General features: G+C 42.8%; 1 protein-coding gene across 2 annotated transcripts in view, besides 1 other annotated feature; it reads right to left on the bottom strand.

Moving 5' to 3' along the window:
* The window catches only part of ROR1 (receptor tyrosine kinase like orphan receptor 1), a 407,482-nt gene that overhangs the window by 373,350 nt on the left and 15,920 nt on the right, over nt 1–18,212 (bottom strand). The gene's annotated exons all lie outside the window — the stretch shown is intronic.
* Nucleotides 12,706–13,365: an enhancer, noted in NCBI's record as "OCT4-NANOG-H3K27ac-H3K4me1 hESC enhancer chr1:64260455-64261114 (GRCh37/hg19 assembly coordinates)". NCBI's record gives its function as "activates a minimal SCP1, AML or CMV promoter by ChIP-STARR-seq in naive H9 embryonic stem cells {active_cell/tissue: H9 hESC(naive)}" and the evidence as "EXISTENCE:reporter gene assay evidence [ECO:0000049][PMID:30033119]".

Genomic DNA, 18,212 nt, shown 5'->3' with positions numbered 1-18,212 from the left:
CTGCAAGGAAAGCTGGCAAACGTGCCCAGGTAAAGTTCCTATTACTATTGGAGGAGGAGGAAGAAGAGGAAGAAAGAGAAGGAGAGTAGGAGTTGGAGGAAGAGGAAGAAAGAGAGAAGGAGAGGGAAAACTACTATTAATACTATTACTACAACTACCACTAATAATAATAATATTGGGAAGAACAAGTAGCAGCCTCTGCCACAGTTCAATATGCCAGGTACAGTGTTGGAGAGACATGAATAAATTTCAGTCCCTCCCCTCAAGAAACTCAGTTATTACTATGAACTGAAAAGTGTCCACGCATCTTTGTATCTCCAGAGACCAGCACAGATCCCTCCACTCTATTTACCAAATACTGATGCCAACCAGCAGCAACAATAAATATCCCCACCCCAGGACCAATATGCACCTGGTACTGAACAGTAACTTGAGAAACAACCATGCGTAGGGCATCATCCCTGCCTTCAGGAGTGCCCAGTCTACACAAGGAGACAAGATGGGGCTTACACATGGAAAGATGATATAACAAAATATTGCAAAGACCTATGCCAAGTGAGGGAAATCGCTCTAAAGCCTGGGACAGCCAGAAATGGCTCTGGATGAGGAAGAATGACATTACTTGGCTCATGTCAGCAGGACACATCTTAGATGAGATGCTGGGGTATGTGAAGGCAGGGCAATGAAAAGACTGATGCTAGCACAAACTCAGCACATGTGAGAGTCCTCCTTCACCCACCTGAGTGGAGGAAGGCATTGTCCCCTTCTCTCATCAGACAGAAACTGTCCTAGGTAATCCTGGCTCACAGCAGCTGCTCCCCCCAGAGAGACAGGCACTGAACCTTAATTTCCCAAACACAAACCAGCCACCCCCACCTTGCCCATCATTAGTGATTTCATGCTCCCAGTTAAAACAGCATTTCCGTAAAGCAATTTTCCCAGAAGTGGCAGAAGGGCAGAGATTAGCTGCAGGTTGCCATGGAGAGTCTCAGAAGACCATCTGTCCTGGCTGGTTTAGACTTTCATCTCCCTGGAGGTTATTTCTTAGGGTCAGATGCTCTCAAAAGTCCCTCCCAGTTGTAAGACTCTGAGAAACTAAATTAGAACCGTGAGATCTAAAACCTCCTAGGACAAAACTGAGGAACACCTTGATCACATTAAGGAAGAAATCATTTATGCAAAGAACCCAGTACCATGCCTGAAAAATGACAGGCCCTCAAAAAAGAGTTGTTATTGTAATTTTATTAGTTTGTTTTTGTTTCTTAATTATATTCATAGCCCATCTCAATCCAGGCAGATTCTGAAATGGCTTATGATACAACAAGCAATACAGTAACAAGAATTTTTAAGTCAGGGCCTGTGAATCTGTCAAGACAAGGAAAGAAAACTTGAAAAACAATACAAAGATACAAAGGTCACAGTATTCTAAAATGGAAACTAACCATGAGGTACAAATTTTCCTTGAGTTTCCTTGAGGCCAAAACAAAAACAAAAACAAAACACTAAATTATTTACAAAAATTAAATAGTCTGGGCCAGGCGCGGTGGCTCACGCCTGTAATCCCAGCACTTTGGGAGGCCAGGGCGGGCGGATCACAAGGTCAGGAGATCGAGACCATCCTGGCTAACGCAGTGAAACTCCGTCTCTACTAAAAATACAAACAATTAGCAGGGCGTGGTGGCGGGCACCTGTAGTCCCAGCTACTCAGGAGGCTGTGGCAGGAGAGTGGCGTGAACCTGGGAGGTGGAGCTTGCAGTGGGCTGGGATTGTGCCACTGCACTCCAGCCTGGGCGACAGAGCGAGACTCCATCTCAAAAAAAAAAAAAAAAAAATAGTCTGACAGTCACAAACAAGCTAACAACAAAACCCCAGGAACTCAGTTCAGAATTCTGCAGAGCAGTACCCTTGTTCCAGCGCACTTGACCAGGCTATGTAACAAGTTAGGAGGAAGTCACAGGGCACAGGAGAGGGGTCCATGGATAATAAACTAAGGAGTTACTGAACTAAACAAAGTAAAACGGATTTCTTTGTTGCAGGATTTTTCCAAAACTTTAATGTGCTCATTATAAATCTCCAAAAGGGCAATAAAATATGTCTTATACAGCCAAGGAGCATTTTTATTTATTTTTTGAGACAGCGTCTCGCTTTGTTGCCCAGCCTTGAGTGCAGTCATGCAATCATATTGGGCTGCAGCCTTGAACTCCTGGGCTCAAGCAGTCTTCCCACCTCAGCCTTCCTAGTATTTGGGACTACAGGTGCATTCCACTGCACCAGGCTAATTTTTTAAATATATTTTATAGAGACAGGATCTTGCTATGTTGCCCAGGCTGGTCATGAACTCCTGTCCTTAAAAGATCCTCCTGCTTCCACCTTCCAAAGTGGCTGGGCTTACAGGCATGAGCCACTGTACCCGGCCTGTAATGAAGCATCTTATACTTTGGAATGCTCGGATCCCAAGTGGATAAATGGACAGTCACCACAGTAATTCTATTCTTATCACGACAAAACATGTCAAACTTCTACTCTTTACCAAGACATCACCTTTTTGTGCTTTTTAAAAAAGATACAAGAACAGAGTTCTGCATCTTCCCCTCTTTCCTCTCTTACACTCTGGCTAGTTTCACTCCAGTTGATGCATTAGGAGCAATCATTTATAAACTGCATTATACTTTTTTATAGTGCATTTTATACTTTCATAGATTTGCCCCCATCTTCTTTCTGCTGTCTACATGTTTCTGGAGGTAGGAAGGATCTATACTACCATCTCCATTTTAAAAGGATGAGAAAACAAATCCCACAGAGGCTGAGCTCCAAGGTCACACTGAGCCAGTGGCTGACCTGATCCTGGGCCACGGGCTTCCCAACTCCGGGCTACACCCACGGCCAAGCCTGTCCCTCTCCCTCCTCGTTCCTTCCCCTCCCTGATCAGGTGCTGCTTTTATCCTATTGTGTGTCTGCAGGTGGGTGGCAATGCTGCTGACTCTTTTTTGGCTCCATTTGGGCCCTTTTCTTTCATCCACTAATTAAATCATGCACTTTTCTTACAGGGGAGCAGAATCTTCAAAAGAGGAAAAGGAACCCTCCCTTTCAGCGCATTCAGGGATTAAAGTTCATCTGGCTATGAAATACTCACCAGGGACTAAATGCATTACTGAGAGGCAACTGCTGAAAGCCAGTGACACATTAATATGAAAATGTGAAGAGCAAGTGACAAGATCTCAGGCTCTAGCATTCCCAAGGTGGGGTCAAACAGCCCAATGGCACCTCAGGGGACATTCTGATTCAGGAGCCTAGAGATGGCATCCTCTGCTGCAGTGACCTTAACAAGAAACTGGAACAAGAATGGGGTCCCTTCTTATTTAGGGGAGAGATTGCAGCTAGGCCACAACCATTCCCCTCTGCACTGAGATAAGCCCAGCCCCAAGCTTGTAGAAAAAGCAGCCCTGCACATGTATACCTATGTAACAAACCTACACGTTCTGCACTTGTATCCCAGAACTTAAAGTATAATTAAAAATAAATAAAGAACGGTAAAAATAAAATAAAATTAAAAGGGTCCCTGAACAGATGTCCACGCTCATCCTCATTCATACATCTTCACTGGGGTTCTTCACTGTAGAGTTCTAGGAAGGAGGCTTTACAAATAATAGAACATCTATTCAAGCACCAGGCTTTTATTTAATTTGAAATAAGTATAGATTGAGAGGAAGTTACAAAAATAGCACAGAGAGGTCTCACATACCCGTCATCCAGTTTTGCCCTCTGGTAACATCTTCTATAACACTAATACAATAGAAAAATCAGGAAATCAGCATTGGTACATCCATAGGCCTTACTCAGATTGGACCAGTTTGACATGCACTCATGTGTGTTTGTGTGTGAGTGTGTGCGTTCTGTGCAATTTTATCACATATAGGTTCATGTAACCACCATTACAATTACAATACAGGACTGTTCCACCACCACAGAGTTGCCTCATGATCCTCCTTCACAGCCACAGCCATCCCCCTCCCAGGACGCCCCCCTCCTGAGTCCCTAACCCTGGCAACCATTAATCTGTTCTCTATTTCTTCAATTTTGTTATTTTGGGAATGTTCTATAAATATAACCTTTAGAGATTACTCAGCATAATCTCAAAAGGGTACTTTTTTTAATGTCTCATAATTTTTTACCCAGTAAAACATTATTTTCACTGAGTTTTGCTGAGTCTTTGTTCACTCAGCACAATTCCCTTTGGACCCATCCAAGTTGTTGAGTGCATCGACAGTTCATTTATTTTTATTGTGAAGTAGTATTCCACGGTATGGATGTAGCACAGTTTGTTTAACCATTCACCCACTGAAGGGCATTTGGTTTGTTTCTAGATTTTGGCTATTACAAGCAAGGCTGCCATGAACAATCCTGTAAAGGCTTTTATGTGGACATAAGTTTTCATTTCTCTGGGACAAATGTCCAGGAGTACAATGGCTGGGTTATATGTCAAACCTTTTTTAAAAATATTTTTGGGCCGGGCGCGGTGGCTCACGCCTGTAATCCCCACATTTTGGGAGGCCAAGGCGGGTAGATCACGAGGTCAGGAGTTTAAGACCAGCCTCGCCAGCATGGTGAAACCCCATCTCTACTAAAAATATTAAGAATTAGGCGGGCATGGTGGCACACGCCTTGTAGTCCCAGCTACTCAGGAGACTGAGGCAGGAGAATTGCTTGAACCCAGCAGGCAGAGGTTGCAGTGAGCCGATATTGCGCCACTGCACTCCAGCCTGGGCGACAGAGCGAGAGTCCATCTCAAAAAAAAAAAAAAATTTGATGGAGAGTTTTCTAAATACATATTTCATACCATACTCGGCCCTCTTAAATACAATGTAGATAATTTAATCTTATTTTTAATGATTTGGAGTCATTATTAGGAGCCACCGAAATCTGTAAAACTATTTGTCTCGAAATTAAATGGCCCCAAAGTATTAGAGGCTTGTATCTCCAAGTGTTCACATGCCTGCATTTGTTACAATATTCTTCTTAAAGTTCAGAGGTGTGTTGTTCAACATATGTGGCAAGTGAGCACCTGAAATATGGCTAGTCTGAGATAAGCTGTGCTGTAAAGCAATTTACACACCTGATTTGAAAGACTTAGTACAAAAAGAAGAGTGCAAAATATCACAAGAAGAATTTTTATAAAGATTGCATGTTGAAATGATGATATTTTGGATTTACTGGGTTAAAGAAAATATACAATTAATTTTATTTGTTTCTTTTTTGTTTTGTAATGTGCCCAAAGGAAAATTTCAAACTACATATGTGGCTCAAATTATAATTTTATTGGACAGTGCTGGTCCAGAGGAGTTTTGTCTCTTTATTTGCTTGTAGGTTGCTAGAGGTGATTAAATGTCTAACATTGACATATGTAGTATGTTACTATTACTGATATGCCCTATGATGGTAACATAATGCTATAAGAAAATTATAAATATCTAAATAAAATCAAAGTCTCATCACTGCTTTCAAAACAGCAAGAAAAGAGGCAATCGAGAAGAGAGGGTAGAGATCTGGCTTAAGACTGAAAAATCTGAACTCTGCTTCCAACGCACCTTCAAGGAAATTACTTATTCATAGTCACACAATTCAACTTCTATGAACCTCCATTTTCCCACCTCTAAATTCTTGCCTTGCTTATTTCATGAGCATTGTAAAAATTAAATGAGAAAATCAATTTGAAAGTACTTCAAGAACTGTAAAGTAGCATGCAAATAAACAAATATAGAAGTTTTTTTAACCAACCTCCACATAACTAACTCACTAGATCGGGCAGGGCTCTCCATTCCCTCTATAGAGCACCCCACCTAGTGTCCAAGGATGCTCCGTGGATGCTCCTGGACAAGCCATGCACTATTCCCACCTCTTGAGTTCTATTCTGACAAGATTCAGTAGGGTTTGATCCCAAAGCTTGTTATACAGTTTCAGCTATATAATTTTTTGGAAATTGTGTACTTTACAGAATTTAAATTAATAAAACAAGAGTATAAGACGAGTTGTTGCTTCTGTGAAAATTAAGCCCAATTCTTTGGAAAGTGAAATAAAAATAACCTCCTCCCCTCCCCCAACCAAATAATTACCACTGTGTTAACTCTAAGACAAGGATAAACACATGGGGGGGCATTATACGTATCTAAAAGAATTCCCCATTTACAGTGCTTTACTTGTGTCTTTCAGCTTCTATCCACTTTAGAGAAAACAAAGCTGGATACCACAGAAAATGTATTACAGGTTAGGTGTGGTTGTGAAAGAAGACAGCACCCTCCAAACATCAGACCCAGCTCAAAGGAAAAGCTACATGATTAAATGAATGTACAGCTAGGCAGTTAAAGTGAGATAAAATAGTTAATTTCATTTCTTCACTATTTCCTCACTCCCTATTTTAACTAACCTTTTTCATTAACTGTCTAATGAGTGCTGGATAAAAAGGCTACTTAATCATTATTATCAGAATAAATGGGAGGAAGAAATCTCCAAAATGAAATATAAGTGATTCAGTGGTGTTTAAAAAATACATGATACCCGGCCAGGCACAGTGGCTCACATCTGTAATCCCAACACTTTGGGAGGCTGAGGCGGGCGGATCACTTGGGGTCAGGAGTTCAAGACCAGCCTGGCCAACATGGTGAAACCCCGTCTTTACTAAAAATACAAAAATTATCCAGGTGTGGTGGTGGGTGCCTGTAATCCAAGCTACTCAGGAGGCTGAGGCAGGAGAATTGTTTAAACCCAGGAGACAGAAGTTGCAGTAAGCCGAGATCATGCCACTGCTCTCCAGCCTGGGTGACAGAGCGAGACTCTGTCTCAAAAAAAAGACCAAAAACATGATACCCATAAATACAGCCACATAATACGTCCATGTTATGAGTAGAAGATTCAAAAACAGGTTAAAACAAGAGGTCAAAAGCATGCAAATGCTTTTTAATTCTTTAAGAATACTCATTAAATCATATAAATGACATAAAACTAATGCAAAATTACAACATTGTAATCATAATAATACAGCAATTTTCTCCTATCATAATAAATAAATAAACCATCTACACCAGGGCTCAGATAAAATAACAAAATCAGCAATAAGTAATATTTATTAAGTTCCTACTATATGCCAAGAGCATTATATTATTTCATTTAATCCTCACCAAAAAAAAAAAACCTAGCAAAATACCCAACATATACTTTTTATAGATGAAAAACATCTGAGATTAAAAAGGTTAATTAATATCCCCACAGTGGCAGCTCTGGGATTCAAGGTCAGTCAAACTTCACCATGCTACATCCTAGAATTACGAAAATCCAGACTATCGAGTCTCAAGGTTGAGGAAGTTCCCAGATTTTTCTCATCAGAGCAGCACATCTCAGATGTTAATGTGCAGATGAATTACCTGAGGATCTTGATGAACTGCAGTGTCTGATTCAGTAAGTCTGGAGCACATCTGAGATTCTGCATTTCCAGCAAGCTCCCAGGTAATGTGGATGCTGCCAGTACTCAGACCTCCTGTCCTGCAGCACATCCAATCATTGTCTGTCTCAGAGGGCCTGATTTCCTTCCAGTGGCAGAAACATTCAGAACATCATTGCCTTTTCTGCCTCCCCAGCTCCTAGTCCTCAGCAGTTTCCTACACCCAGGAAAGGGCCAACTCTGCTGAGGCCAAGTGAATAAGAACTCCAGGTATCACATCTTTTAAGGGCCTGCTCTGTGTCAGGCACAGGAGCACCAAGAAGAATAAGAAAAAGACCCACACTTCTTAGGGCTTTTAATCTCAAATTAAAAGTACAAAACATACTCCTGAAAATATGCCATTATAATCAATTCACAAACAAGTGATAATTTTATAGGTAACAGCAAAATCACCTTAAAGGGGTTGACATTGTCATCAGAATATCTTAAGGAATTAACACTCTTCATTCACATTTTCAACATCCATGCGGAGAAACATTAAAGCAAAAATGGACCCAGGGTAACCCTGGGACTCAGTCCTCCTAAGTCAAACCTTCTCATCTGTCTATGAAGCATCCCCATCTTTGAGCCTGGCTGCCTGCCCATCTCCTGAGCTAAGGAAAGGAAAATATTCACAAGCCTGCCTTCGTTACTAGGGGAAATGTTAGCTCCTGCTTTTAATTAAGCATTTTATACTGATTTTCTTCTTTGACCATAAAAGATAACCAACTGCATATTTTCTAAATGATCCATACAGATCTAATAAACAATGTTTTTCCAATAAAAAGGCAGCTCCCACTGTCTCCCTCGTCTGCCATAAAAACTTGAGCTTTCCAATATTCATCAGTTTGACAAATATTTAATGAGTGTCTCTTTGATTTGTGCCAGGCTCAATGTGCTGAACACTGAAGATATACATGAGAATTAAACACCATTCCTCCTCACCCAGACCTCACAGTCCAGAGACAGAGACAAACATATAAACAAATAATCCCAAAAGAGTGACACTAGCTGTTTAAAAACAAAAAAAAAAACAGGAGAGGAAAAATGGGTGTTTTTTTTCCTCTTCCTGAGTCAAATGCAAAACCATAATCCATTTCCAATTTGAAGGAACTAAGAGCTATAAACAAATGGGAAAAAAGCAGAATTGCACAATATTCCTGAAATACACTGTGATTAGCAACCAGCCATACAGACACTATGACAGGCATGCTCCTAGGCACTCAAGTGATAACATGGAATTCTGTCGCCAAGGAGGTTCCAGTGGCCTGGGGAACAAGACACAGCTAGCATTGGAGAAGTTTTTAAACACTGGTGAGAGAAGTCAGACAATGTAGGCTATGGCTAGATCATGATGAGCTTTGATCCACCATGGCCATGGCAATGGGGAGCCATTGAAGATATTTTTGAGGAAGGGAAATGACACAATGAAAGCTGTTTGTATGTCAACTTTATAATAAGAAAAGTGACTTGAACACCTACTACGTGCCAGTCACTATTATTCCAGGGGCTTTACATGTATTATCTCTAGTTTTCCTAGCAGCCTTTTAAGGTAGACATGATCATCTCTTCTTTACAGATGAGGCAAATGAGACTCAGAAACATTAAGCAAAAGTATTTAAGATTACGTGGCTAATAAATGATGATGCTGGGGAAGTTAATCCAGCTGTTGAATCAATAAAAGAAAGAGGTTACTAGCAGGGAAATTGACGTTAAGCCCCTGAATAGCCAAGATATAAAGTATGGTGCTGACACCAAAAATAGGAAAGTTTATAATGCATCTCACACAACACTTCATCTATTTTTTCAAAGTAGTCCAGAGATGAACCAGAGATACTTTTGCTTAACGTTTCTGAGTCTCAGTTGCCTCATCTGTAAAGAAGGGACGATCATGTCTACCTTGAAAGGCTGTCAGAAAAACTAGAGATAATACATGTAAAGCCCCTGGAATAATGGTTCATCTCTGGACTACTTTAGAGCAGCAATAAAGTAAATAGCCACAATGTGTTAAGTGATTACTATGTGCTGGGTACTATGTGTGATCAGGGCTGGGGATACAAAGGAGACATGCAGAGCAGTTAGTGTCTTGTCTATACTTACAAGGCAAAGTGATGGGTGGACAAGACAACAAACCACCCTGCTTACCTCCTCTCTATGGCAGCGGACTGCATGCTGCCTGGCTCAAGCCCATGTATAATACTAGGACCCATCACAAGGAGTCAGGTCTGTGGCCTCCTCCTCCTCCCCCAAAAACTGCAACCCCCACTGACTTGTTCCTCACAGGCTCTTGGTCCTGTTCTAGATTATTCTAACCAAGAGTACCTACTTAAGTTGATGGGCCCAGTGCAAAATAAAAAAGTGGGGCGTCTTATTGAAAATAATATCAAGAATTCCAATTTCCCTGCAGAGCGTCAAATCAACCAGGGGGCTCCAATGTGGATGGTCTGCGCAGTTGCACAGGTTGCATACCTATGAAGCTGGCTCTGATTCTAAACCAGTTCCTACTTCTCTAGATTGGTAACAATTGTATGCAGAGTGGAAAAATGCCTGACTGAGTCTCAGAAAATGTCTGTTCCATTCAAATCTTCATGATCAGGAGACCTACTGCCAAAAAGATAGCTTCTCAGCTCAATGAGAGCTGGCTGGCATGGCATGGGCTCATAAGATGAAGAATGCAGCCTCTCAAAAGGGCAACTTTCTCCCTTGCCAGTATATGGCTTCCAATGATTATGTGGTGCAGTATTTAGTGAAAAGGAATTTGGTCGTCTGTCCTCTCAAAGGTTATCCTGAAGATAGAGAACATGGAAAAAAAAAAAAAAAGACAAGACTACAATCAGTCCTGCTTTAAAACAACAACAACAAAGGTGTCCCTAAATTTAATATGTGAAGCTTAGTAAAAATGATAACCATAACAAACATCATTTGAGTGTTTATCAACTACCAGTGGCTATGCTGAATCCTTTTTAAAGATATATATAGCCCTCACAGCAACCTGAGATACAATATTCAAAACCGTGTTCATTTGCTTTCATAGAAGGGCTTGTTTCACTTGTTCAAATAGAGCTGAATTTCAGGTAGAGGAAGACCAGAACAAATAAACCCTACTAATTGTTTGACCTTGAGCAAGTTCCCTTCCCTTGCTGGGCTGGATGTGTTCACCTGTAAATGGAGTTTGTGGCCTGCATGCTTTTGAAAGTCCTCCGGACTCTGATAGTCTGTGATTCCCAGAGGAGGAACTCGGGAAAATTCATGACTCTCCGTTCAGCCTTCCCACACATGCTACTCCAGAGCACCAGAGAGACAAACCACAAAATCGGGCACAGCAGAAAAAAAGCTGGCCCCACAGCCAGGACACTGGGTTTCTAGCCTGGATCCACCAATTACTCATAGGATGACTGGGAGCAAGTCACTTCACCACTCTGAGCCTTGGTTTCCTTATCCATAAATTAATTAACAGATGCCCAAAGTCCTTTTTTGCAAGGCACAGTGCCTGGCACCTAGAAAGTTCTCGGCATGTGTTAGTTATTGTCATCATTATTAATTATTACGCCCTCTTCCAATAGTTCCCACCAGCTTCAAGTAAGAAAGAACCCTTTTAATGCAAAAATGAACTAGAGTCCTCTTCCCATCTAATAGGTTTAACATCTAGAATCAATTAATTAGAAAAAATATAGAACATCAAAAAATCACTATGAATTGTTATTCAATTCATCAAAGCACTTTCATATATGCTTGAAAAATGTGAAACATTTTTCTCATCACCGATGATGTTGGATTCTCAAAACCCTTGCAATGATACTGAGGAGCTGGGCTGGGGCCCGCTGCTCTCTGGACCACCTGCCAGCTCAGGGCTCGGTGCATTGCCATTTCCACCTTCAGTCACCTCGACTCTGCAACTCCTCCTCTCCTCTCTCCACCGCTGCCCTTACCACACTGTCAAGGCCCAAAACACAAAGGAGGCAAAAGGAAGAAATATGTATATCTAGCACTGGAACTGAATGTACGACTGCTTGTGCCTGTTTCTGCCTTTAAACCTTTTTTCTCACAAAGTACAAACTTTTAAAGGGTAAGAGATGATACACCCATTTTATGTAGAATGTTTGATGCAGTCTTGGATAAATTCTTCGTAACTATATTTTAATATGCATTTGGAAAAAAACACAAAATAATACATTACTAGAGCAGGAATGGTTCTTTAAAGCCATGGTTCTTTAATTTGCATATAAATCACCTGGGATCATGTTAAAATGCAGCTTCTGATCCAGTAGTTCTGGAGAGGAGCCTGAGACTCTGCATTTCTAACAAGCTCCCAGGTGATGTTGACACTGCCACTACACAGGGCTTGGTCCAACCTTATTGCTTTGCAGATGAGAACCTGAGGATCAGAGAAGGCAAGTGTTTTGTGTGGGGCCACACAGCTAGTTAGAGGTAGGGCTAGGAGATAAACTCAAGTTTATTGACTTTCAGTCCAGAGCTCTTTCTGCTATGCCCTGATGTCATCCTTTGTAGAAGGGAAAAATGTTTCTGAAAAAAAAAAATCCCATCGTCCTTTCCCATATAAGACAATACTACACACATATAAATATGCACATACATACAGGACAAGAGCTAAACTCTCTCTCTCCCAGTTTCCAGCACAGAATGTTGCCAACAAAAGATACTCAAAATACTATGTGTCGACAGATTAGTCTGATGGGGGTTTTAATGAAATGTTCTGATTAGAGTAATGCTTTTACCTTTGTCATCTCTAAAGACTCCCTTCTGAGCAGCCACCCCCATCTCCAAAACCTTCTGTACTTACATACTAAGTTTCCCCTAATGGCATTTTCTAAATTAAAATTTAATTTATGGGGAGAAAGTTCAAAACAAGCTATTGTTCTAAATCAATATTGAGGCAGAAGATAAGGCTATTCCAGTAGCGGCAAGATATTTTATGTTCCTGCATATCCTTTGCACTAGACCATCTAAGGCACGTGAAGTGTTTGAAGAGTAGTACTTAGCAGTCTAAGTGTTCAAACAGCATTCAAAGCCTCTCTGCCCTCCCACCATTCAGAATCACTCCAAAGGGCTTCTGTGGCTTGGAACTGTATTTTCACGATCTTAAGAGTTCAAGAGAGCTTACTCCATGAGCTTGCTCAGCTCAGGCCCAAGCACACGGCAGGTCCACAATATGTCCCTGACCCAGTGTCAGATCCAGCACCTAGAGTCACAAGTTTTCAAGGTTTCGACAGGATTTTCCTTAAAAGGTCAGAAAACATACCCTCCAAGGGAAGAAAAAATGGCTGTTTAGACTTCTTATTCTATTCTACCACTGGTTGAAATTAACAAATTCAATGCAAATACTTTGGATTTGAATCTTGCCACACTAGGAAACCAAGAGGACAGGAGGATAACACTTAAAGGCACAGCCAATTTTTCCCCTTGCAAGAGGGAACCTCCGGCATAGCTCCAAAGCCACAAGAGCCCTCTCAGCGGGGCTTCTGATGATTTCTAACTCGAAGAATGTAATCCATCAGCCCTCTGGAGCACCAGCCTGGCTGCCAACCCTCCCACCAGAACCTTCCTGAACCTGCCCTCCCAACCACAAAGTCCGCTTCCCTGGATGCAGGGTTCCAACCTCCCTTCACTGCATGGCATTCGAGGCTCTGCACACACAGGCAGCCTCGTCTGGGGTCCACAAGTCACTGTGCAGATCTCTCTTAAGGCATGTACCAAAACAAATTCTAATTCCTCCGGTTATTATGTCTCTCCACCCACCCCAAACGACTGCACCCCACCACTATCACCAGTTTCATGAGTGCGTGAGCCCCTAGAAAATGGATAATGTTCTGGACCCTGTGTATCCCAGCACAGTCCCGGGCATACAGTCAGGACTTACAAAATGGGAGCTATTATTCTTACATCATATTGATATGTTCCCTCCGCTGCTCCCTTCTTGCTCGCTGCTTCCTCCAGTGGGCTTCCTAAAACAAATTTAGGGCTGGAAGGGGCAGTCAAGCCACTGCATTTTACAGATGAGGAAATTGAAGAAGACCTTCAGGTGATTCCATCACTGCGGTCCTGCTAGCAGTCTAGCTGGAGAGCCGCCCTCTGGCCTCTGATAACAGGTCCTGAGCTCCTCCTCATTCTGTCTCTCTGGACCCAGCCAGCAGGGCACAGCAGGCCACCACCAGTGAGAGAAAGAAGCTGGTTCCTTCGTGGCCTAGTGCTGGAGGCCGGGGAAGCCAGTTTCGATGCCAGACTCAGGCACTGAGGAATTCAGGGTGGTTATTTCTGATCAAGGCCAGGGTGGGCCTCGGGTTCCTCACCTGGAACATGGTCATCTGAGCTCTTGTTGATGGACGACTCACCATGCACACTCAGGACATGCCAGTGACCGTCAGCATTGTCTGATTTTTGCCCTCACCAAAAGGTAATGAGGTAGATATGATTAGTACCCCAATTTTTACAGATGGGGAAACCGAAGCTTTGAGGTTTGCCTAAGATCACAGTTAGTTGAATGGGTTTGGCTGACTCTCGGAGCCCATATTTTGACTTTGGTCACATTAGCTTTGTCAGAGGCCCCTTTGGCCCTAGGAAGCGGTGACAGTGAGGACGTCCTTCACTGAGAGCAGATGGGAAGCTCACCCTGTGCTTCCTGGTTCCCCAGCAACCAGGGCCCTTGCCTTTACCTAACTGCATTAGCGGCAGTTCTATCTAATCCTAGGTGCACACAACGGAGACAGGAGTCTTTCCCTGGGGTCTCTGCTTCTCCTGAGATTAGCCACAGTCCCCAGGAGGCTGTTATCCCAACCCCAGCGGGGAGGGCAGCACAACCAAGATGGAGCTTACTGCAGGAAACCACTGCTGCACTGGGAAAAACAAAGCTCAGACTGGATGGCTCGGCTCTGATCACAGGCACCAGATGTGCCAGCTACACAGGTATATACCTGCCAGTCATCACCAAGTGACCGCTGAAGCAACCACCACTTCTTTCTGGAGGTCCTGGGAGGGGAATCAGCAAGCATTCCAAATAAAAAAACATACCCTGAGCTTCTCCTAAGGGCATTCCCTAGAGCAAGCACCCAGGTCCCTGTCTCATTCACCACTGCATTGCCAGCACCCAGCACTGTGCCTGGCACATAGTAGGTGTTCATCGATCATTTGGTTAACTTTTTTTATTGACACATAATAGATGTACATATTTTCAGAGCACATGTGATATTTTGGTACATTCATAGAATGCGTAAAGATCAAATCAGGGTAACTGGGATAGCCATAATGTTATGCTAGGAACATTCTAATTATTCTCTTCTAGCTATTTTGAAATATATAATAGATTATTATTAACTGTCATCACCCTACTGCCAATCGATCATTTGATTGACAAATGAGCTTACCATCGCCATCATGGTAGAAGCCAACGATGCCTCACCAGATTTGAGAATGAGTATCCAGGCTCACCATCAATTATGAAGTTTGGGATAACTTCCTTCACCTGAGTTTTTCCATTCTGTAGCCCCAGATAATAATACCCATCTCGCCTAATCCAGTAGGATTTAGCCATTCATCCCACAAGACTCTGGGACAAATGCATAGAATAATTTTAAAGGGCAGCACTATTTGAGGCCACTTACTTTTTTGGGTAGCTAATCTACACAATGTGAAATCAGAGAAAGCTGTCATAAGATTCTGGGTCTGAGGATTACAGGTTGTCTGGTATTGTGGAAGAGTGGACTGGGAGTCCTAGCACCTCAAGTGATTCCTTTAGAAATGTGAGAATCCTCGGCACCAACTTTATCTCACAGTCCCTTCATCTTTCAGCAAAATACTTAATTCAACTGGATACTCTAGTTAATTCACTCCCACAGACATTAGTAGAAAATAAGTTTTCAGGGAAAGAACCAAGGAAGTTAAGTAAGTTGCAAGTTTCCATTTTTCTCTCATTCTCTCTCTTTGCAAGAGGCAAGGAATGAGAATTGGCGTAATAAGAAGAAGAATAAAGTGATATTCTCATGGTGCCCTGCAGTTTGAAACATTCTTTCACTTGGATCTCTCACTTAATATACATAATAATCCTCTGAGATTTTATTAGCCCATTTTATAAATCAGGAAACAGAAGCCCAGAGAGGTGAAACATCTTGCCCTAGCAGCAGATGAGTAGCAGGCCAGGCCCAAACTGAGATTTTTTTTCTTTCCAAACCATACACTGTTCCCTCTGTGCAGGGCTGTGACTTATACACTCCCCATGTAAATGAGAACTGCTCCCTCTTCGTATTATCTGGATGCTTGGTTTGTTCTAAGAATGCCTCATCTGTGACATGGGGGAAGGATAAAAATAGGACCTACCGAATAGGGTTGTCGCGGCACCTGAATACTGCCTGGCACACAGTATAGACTCTATAAATATTACCAGTGGTAGTAGAAGCAATTGCTGGTTGTACTGTAAACTGATAACACTCCCATTTCAAGGCATTTGCTTTGAATGCCTCTGCACTCACTGCTCCTCCCTCAGACAGTCTCAGGGGTCACCCTTTCCCTTCACACAGGTCTCTCTGCTCAAATCCCCTAAACCTAGAGGCCTGCCAGACTGCCCCATGCGACAGCACCCACCCCACCTCCTTTACAAGCTCTTTACCCTGCTCATTCTTCTTGGCCCTTCCTGTTACCTGCTGTCATGTATATTTCTGTATTTCCTGACTCCTCCATGACCAGGGTCTTTGTTTTGTTCACAGCTTTACCCTCAGTATCAAGAATGATGCCTGCCACGTAAATATCTGTTGAGTGAATAAAGGAGGCCTCATGGATCCTTCTTCACCAAGAAATGAAGACAAAATGGTACTTGCCATCTAAATCCTCGATCTCAGATAGGATTTTAGGTTTACAAGGTGACTTTATAGCCTTTACCTCCTATAATCTTCCATAATCTTCAGGGAATGGATTATAATTCCCATTATAGAGATAAAGAAACTAAGACCTCTTATCCCCAGAAAGGGCAGAGCAACATTCTGGGAAGACAGATGCTAGGTAAGGTCCTGAACCCCACCCTCATGCCCATCCACCATGCCCATCGATTAGCAATGAGGCATGGGGGTCTCAGCCTCCTTCTGAGTTGCTTTGACTCTGGTGGAGCAGCTGAGGTTCAAGGGGATGGTGGGAACTGGCTTACAGAAAGGGGCCTGGGAAGTGAGTTTTATCCCTCAGTCAAGAATCAACATTACAGGCAGCACAATTTTGTGAACTCATTTGTCCAAATAAACCCCTACATTATTACTAATATCATTTTAAAACACATAATGGGCTCTTGTTTTAGTGCCTCCCAGACATATTTTTTTCCAGTGAAAAAAAGGTGACTCCCCTGAGTCACCTTTCCTGATTCTGTCTCCAGCACTCTAACAGGAGCCTGCATTGGCTGCTCCCTCTCCACACCTTCCAGGACCTGTGCCCAGACTCTCACTGTGTCACCATCATTGTTTTCACGCTGCCCACAAGGCCAGACTTTGAGGTCCTAGCAGATAATCCTGTAGCCCCAACACCTGCCCAATGCCTGGCACCCAGCAGGCCTCCATGTGCCTGCTGACCAAGGACCACTCCTGACTCATAGCAGGTGCAAGAAATAAAACAGCCCAGGCTTCTCTCCTCCCCACTACTGCCTCAGGCCCCAAGAAACCCCAGCAAAATTTTATTAAGCTCCCCTTTCTCCTGCATGAAGGAAAGATGTCCCAGCCTGAAGCAGATGGTACTGGGAGGCTAAGGCAGAGTTGCTGTAGGAAATCCAGAGACAAGGGGGCATTTCTGGCCATCTTTGCATCCAGATGGCTTGCAGGTTCAAAACTGAGAACACTTTCCCCTCTACTCATTGAGAGAAAGAAGAGAGAGGAAGAGCTCCCCAGGGGATATTTCCCTAGTAATGAGACCTCTTTCAAAATTCCTGAGAAAAGACAGGGAAGGGCAGAGCAACAGGGAGGGAGAAAAAGGTGCTGAGGGCCGGCAGCCAGCATTCACCACCTCTATTCCCAGCTTGCAGGTGCACCGTCCCTGTAGCACAGTGCCAGGATTTTCCACACCTTCTCTCAAACACAGTCCACACGAAAAAGGAGAAAGAGGAGGATTGTAAGGGAGAATCTGAATTGGTTGCCAATTAAGAGCAGGGTGACCCTAATTTATAGCAGCAAAACCCAGTTATCACAGACTCCATGTTGGGAAAACAGCCCAGCTCTGGAGCTGCCCATTGCTCTCCTGCAAACAGAACTCACAGCAGGTGTCATTTAGCCTGATTGACTTTTTACAGGGCTGGATTCCTCAACTGTTGGAAGAGATAGCCTGGAGATTTTCAGTTGTTCGAAGACGCGTTTTTAAATTCCTAGATAGTCACACCAAGGTAAGCTGGAGTTATCTCGGCCTCTAGGAAGGAAGAACAATGCTTAGTAAAAGTAAAAGCAGAATCCATTCAACTGGCCCAGGCTCAGGAGATCCAGAACCAGACCCTACTGTAAGGAGCATCCAACCCAGTGATAGAGAAGATCCCAAAAAATAGTCATTACACAAATAAATATTCAATGACAAATTATAATGAAGGTTATTTAAGAACACAAAGTGCTAGGAGAGCATGTGAGTGGAAATCTAATCTCACCTGTTGAGTCAGGGATGTGACATCTGAGCCAAGACAGAAGGACTGTAGCTGATGGGTGGGGGAAAGGTGCTTCTGTGGGAGGGAACAGCCCATGAAAAGCCAATATGTGCATAGGTGCCCTATGAGACC

The sequence above is a fragment of the Homo sapiens genome, chromosome 1 (genome assembly GCF_000001405.40).
Source record: "Homo sapiens chromosome 1, GRCh38.p14 Primary Assembly".
Taxonomy (NCBI): domain Eukaryota; kingdom Metazoa; phylum Chordata; class Mammalia; order Primates; family Hominidae; genus Homo; species Homo sapiens.
Note: the sequence above shows the minus strand (reverse complement) of the source record. Positions and strands in the feature narration are given on the sequence as shown.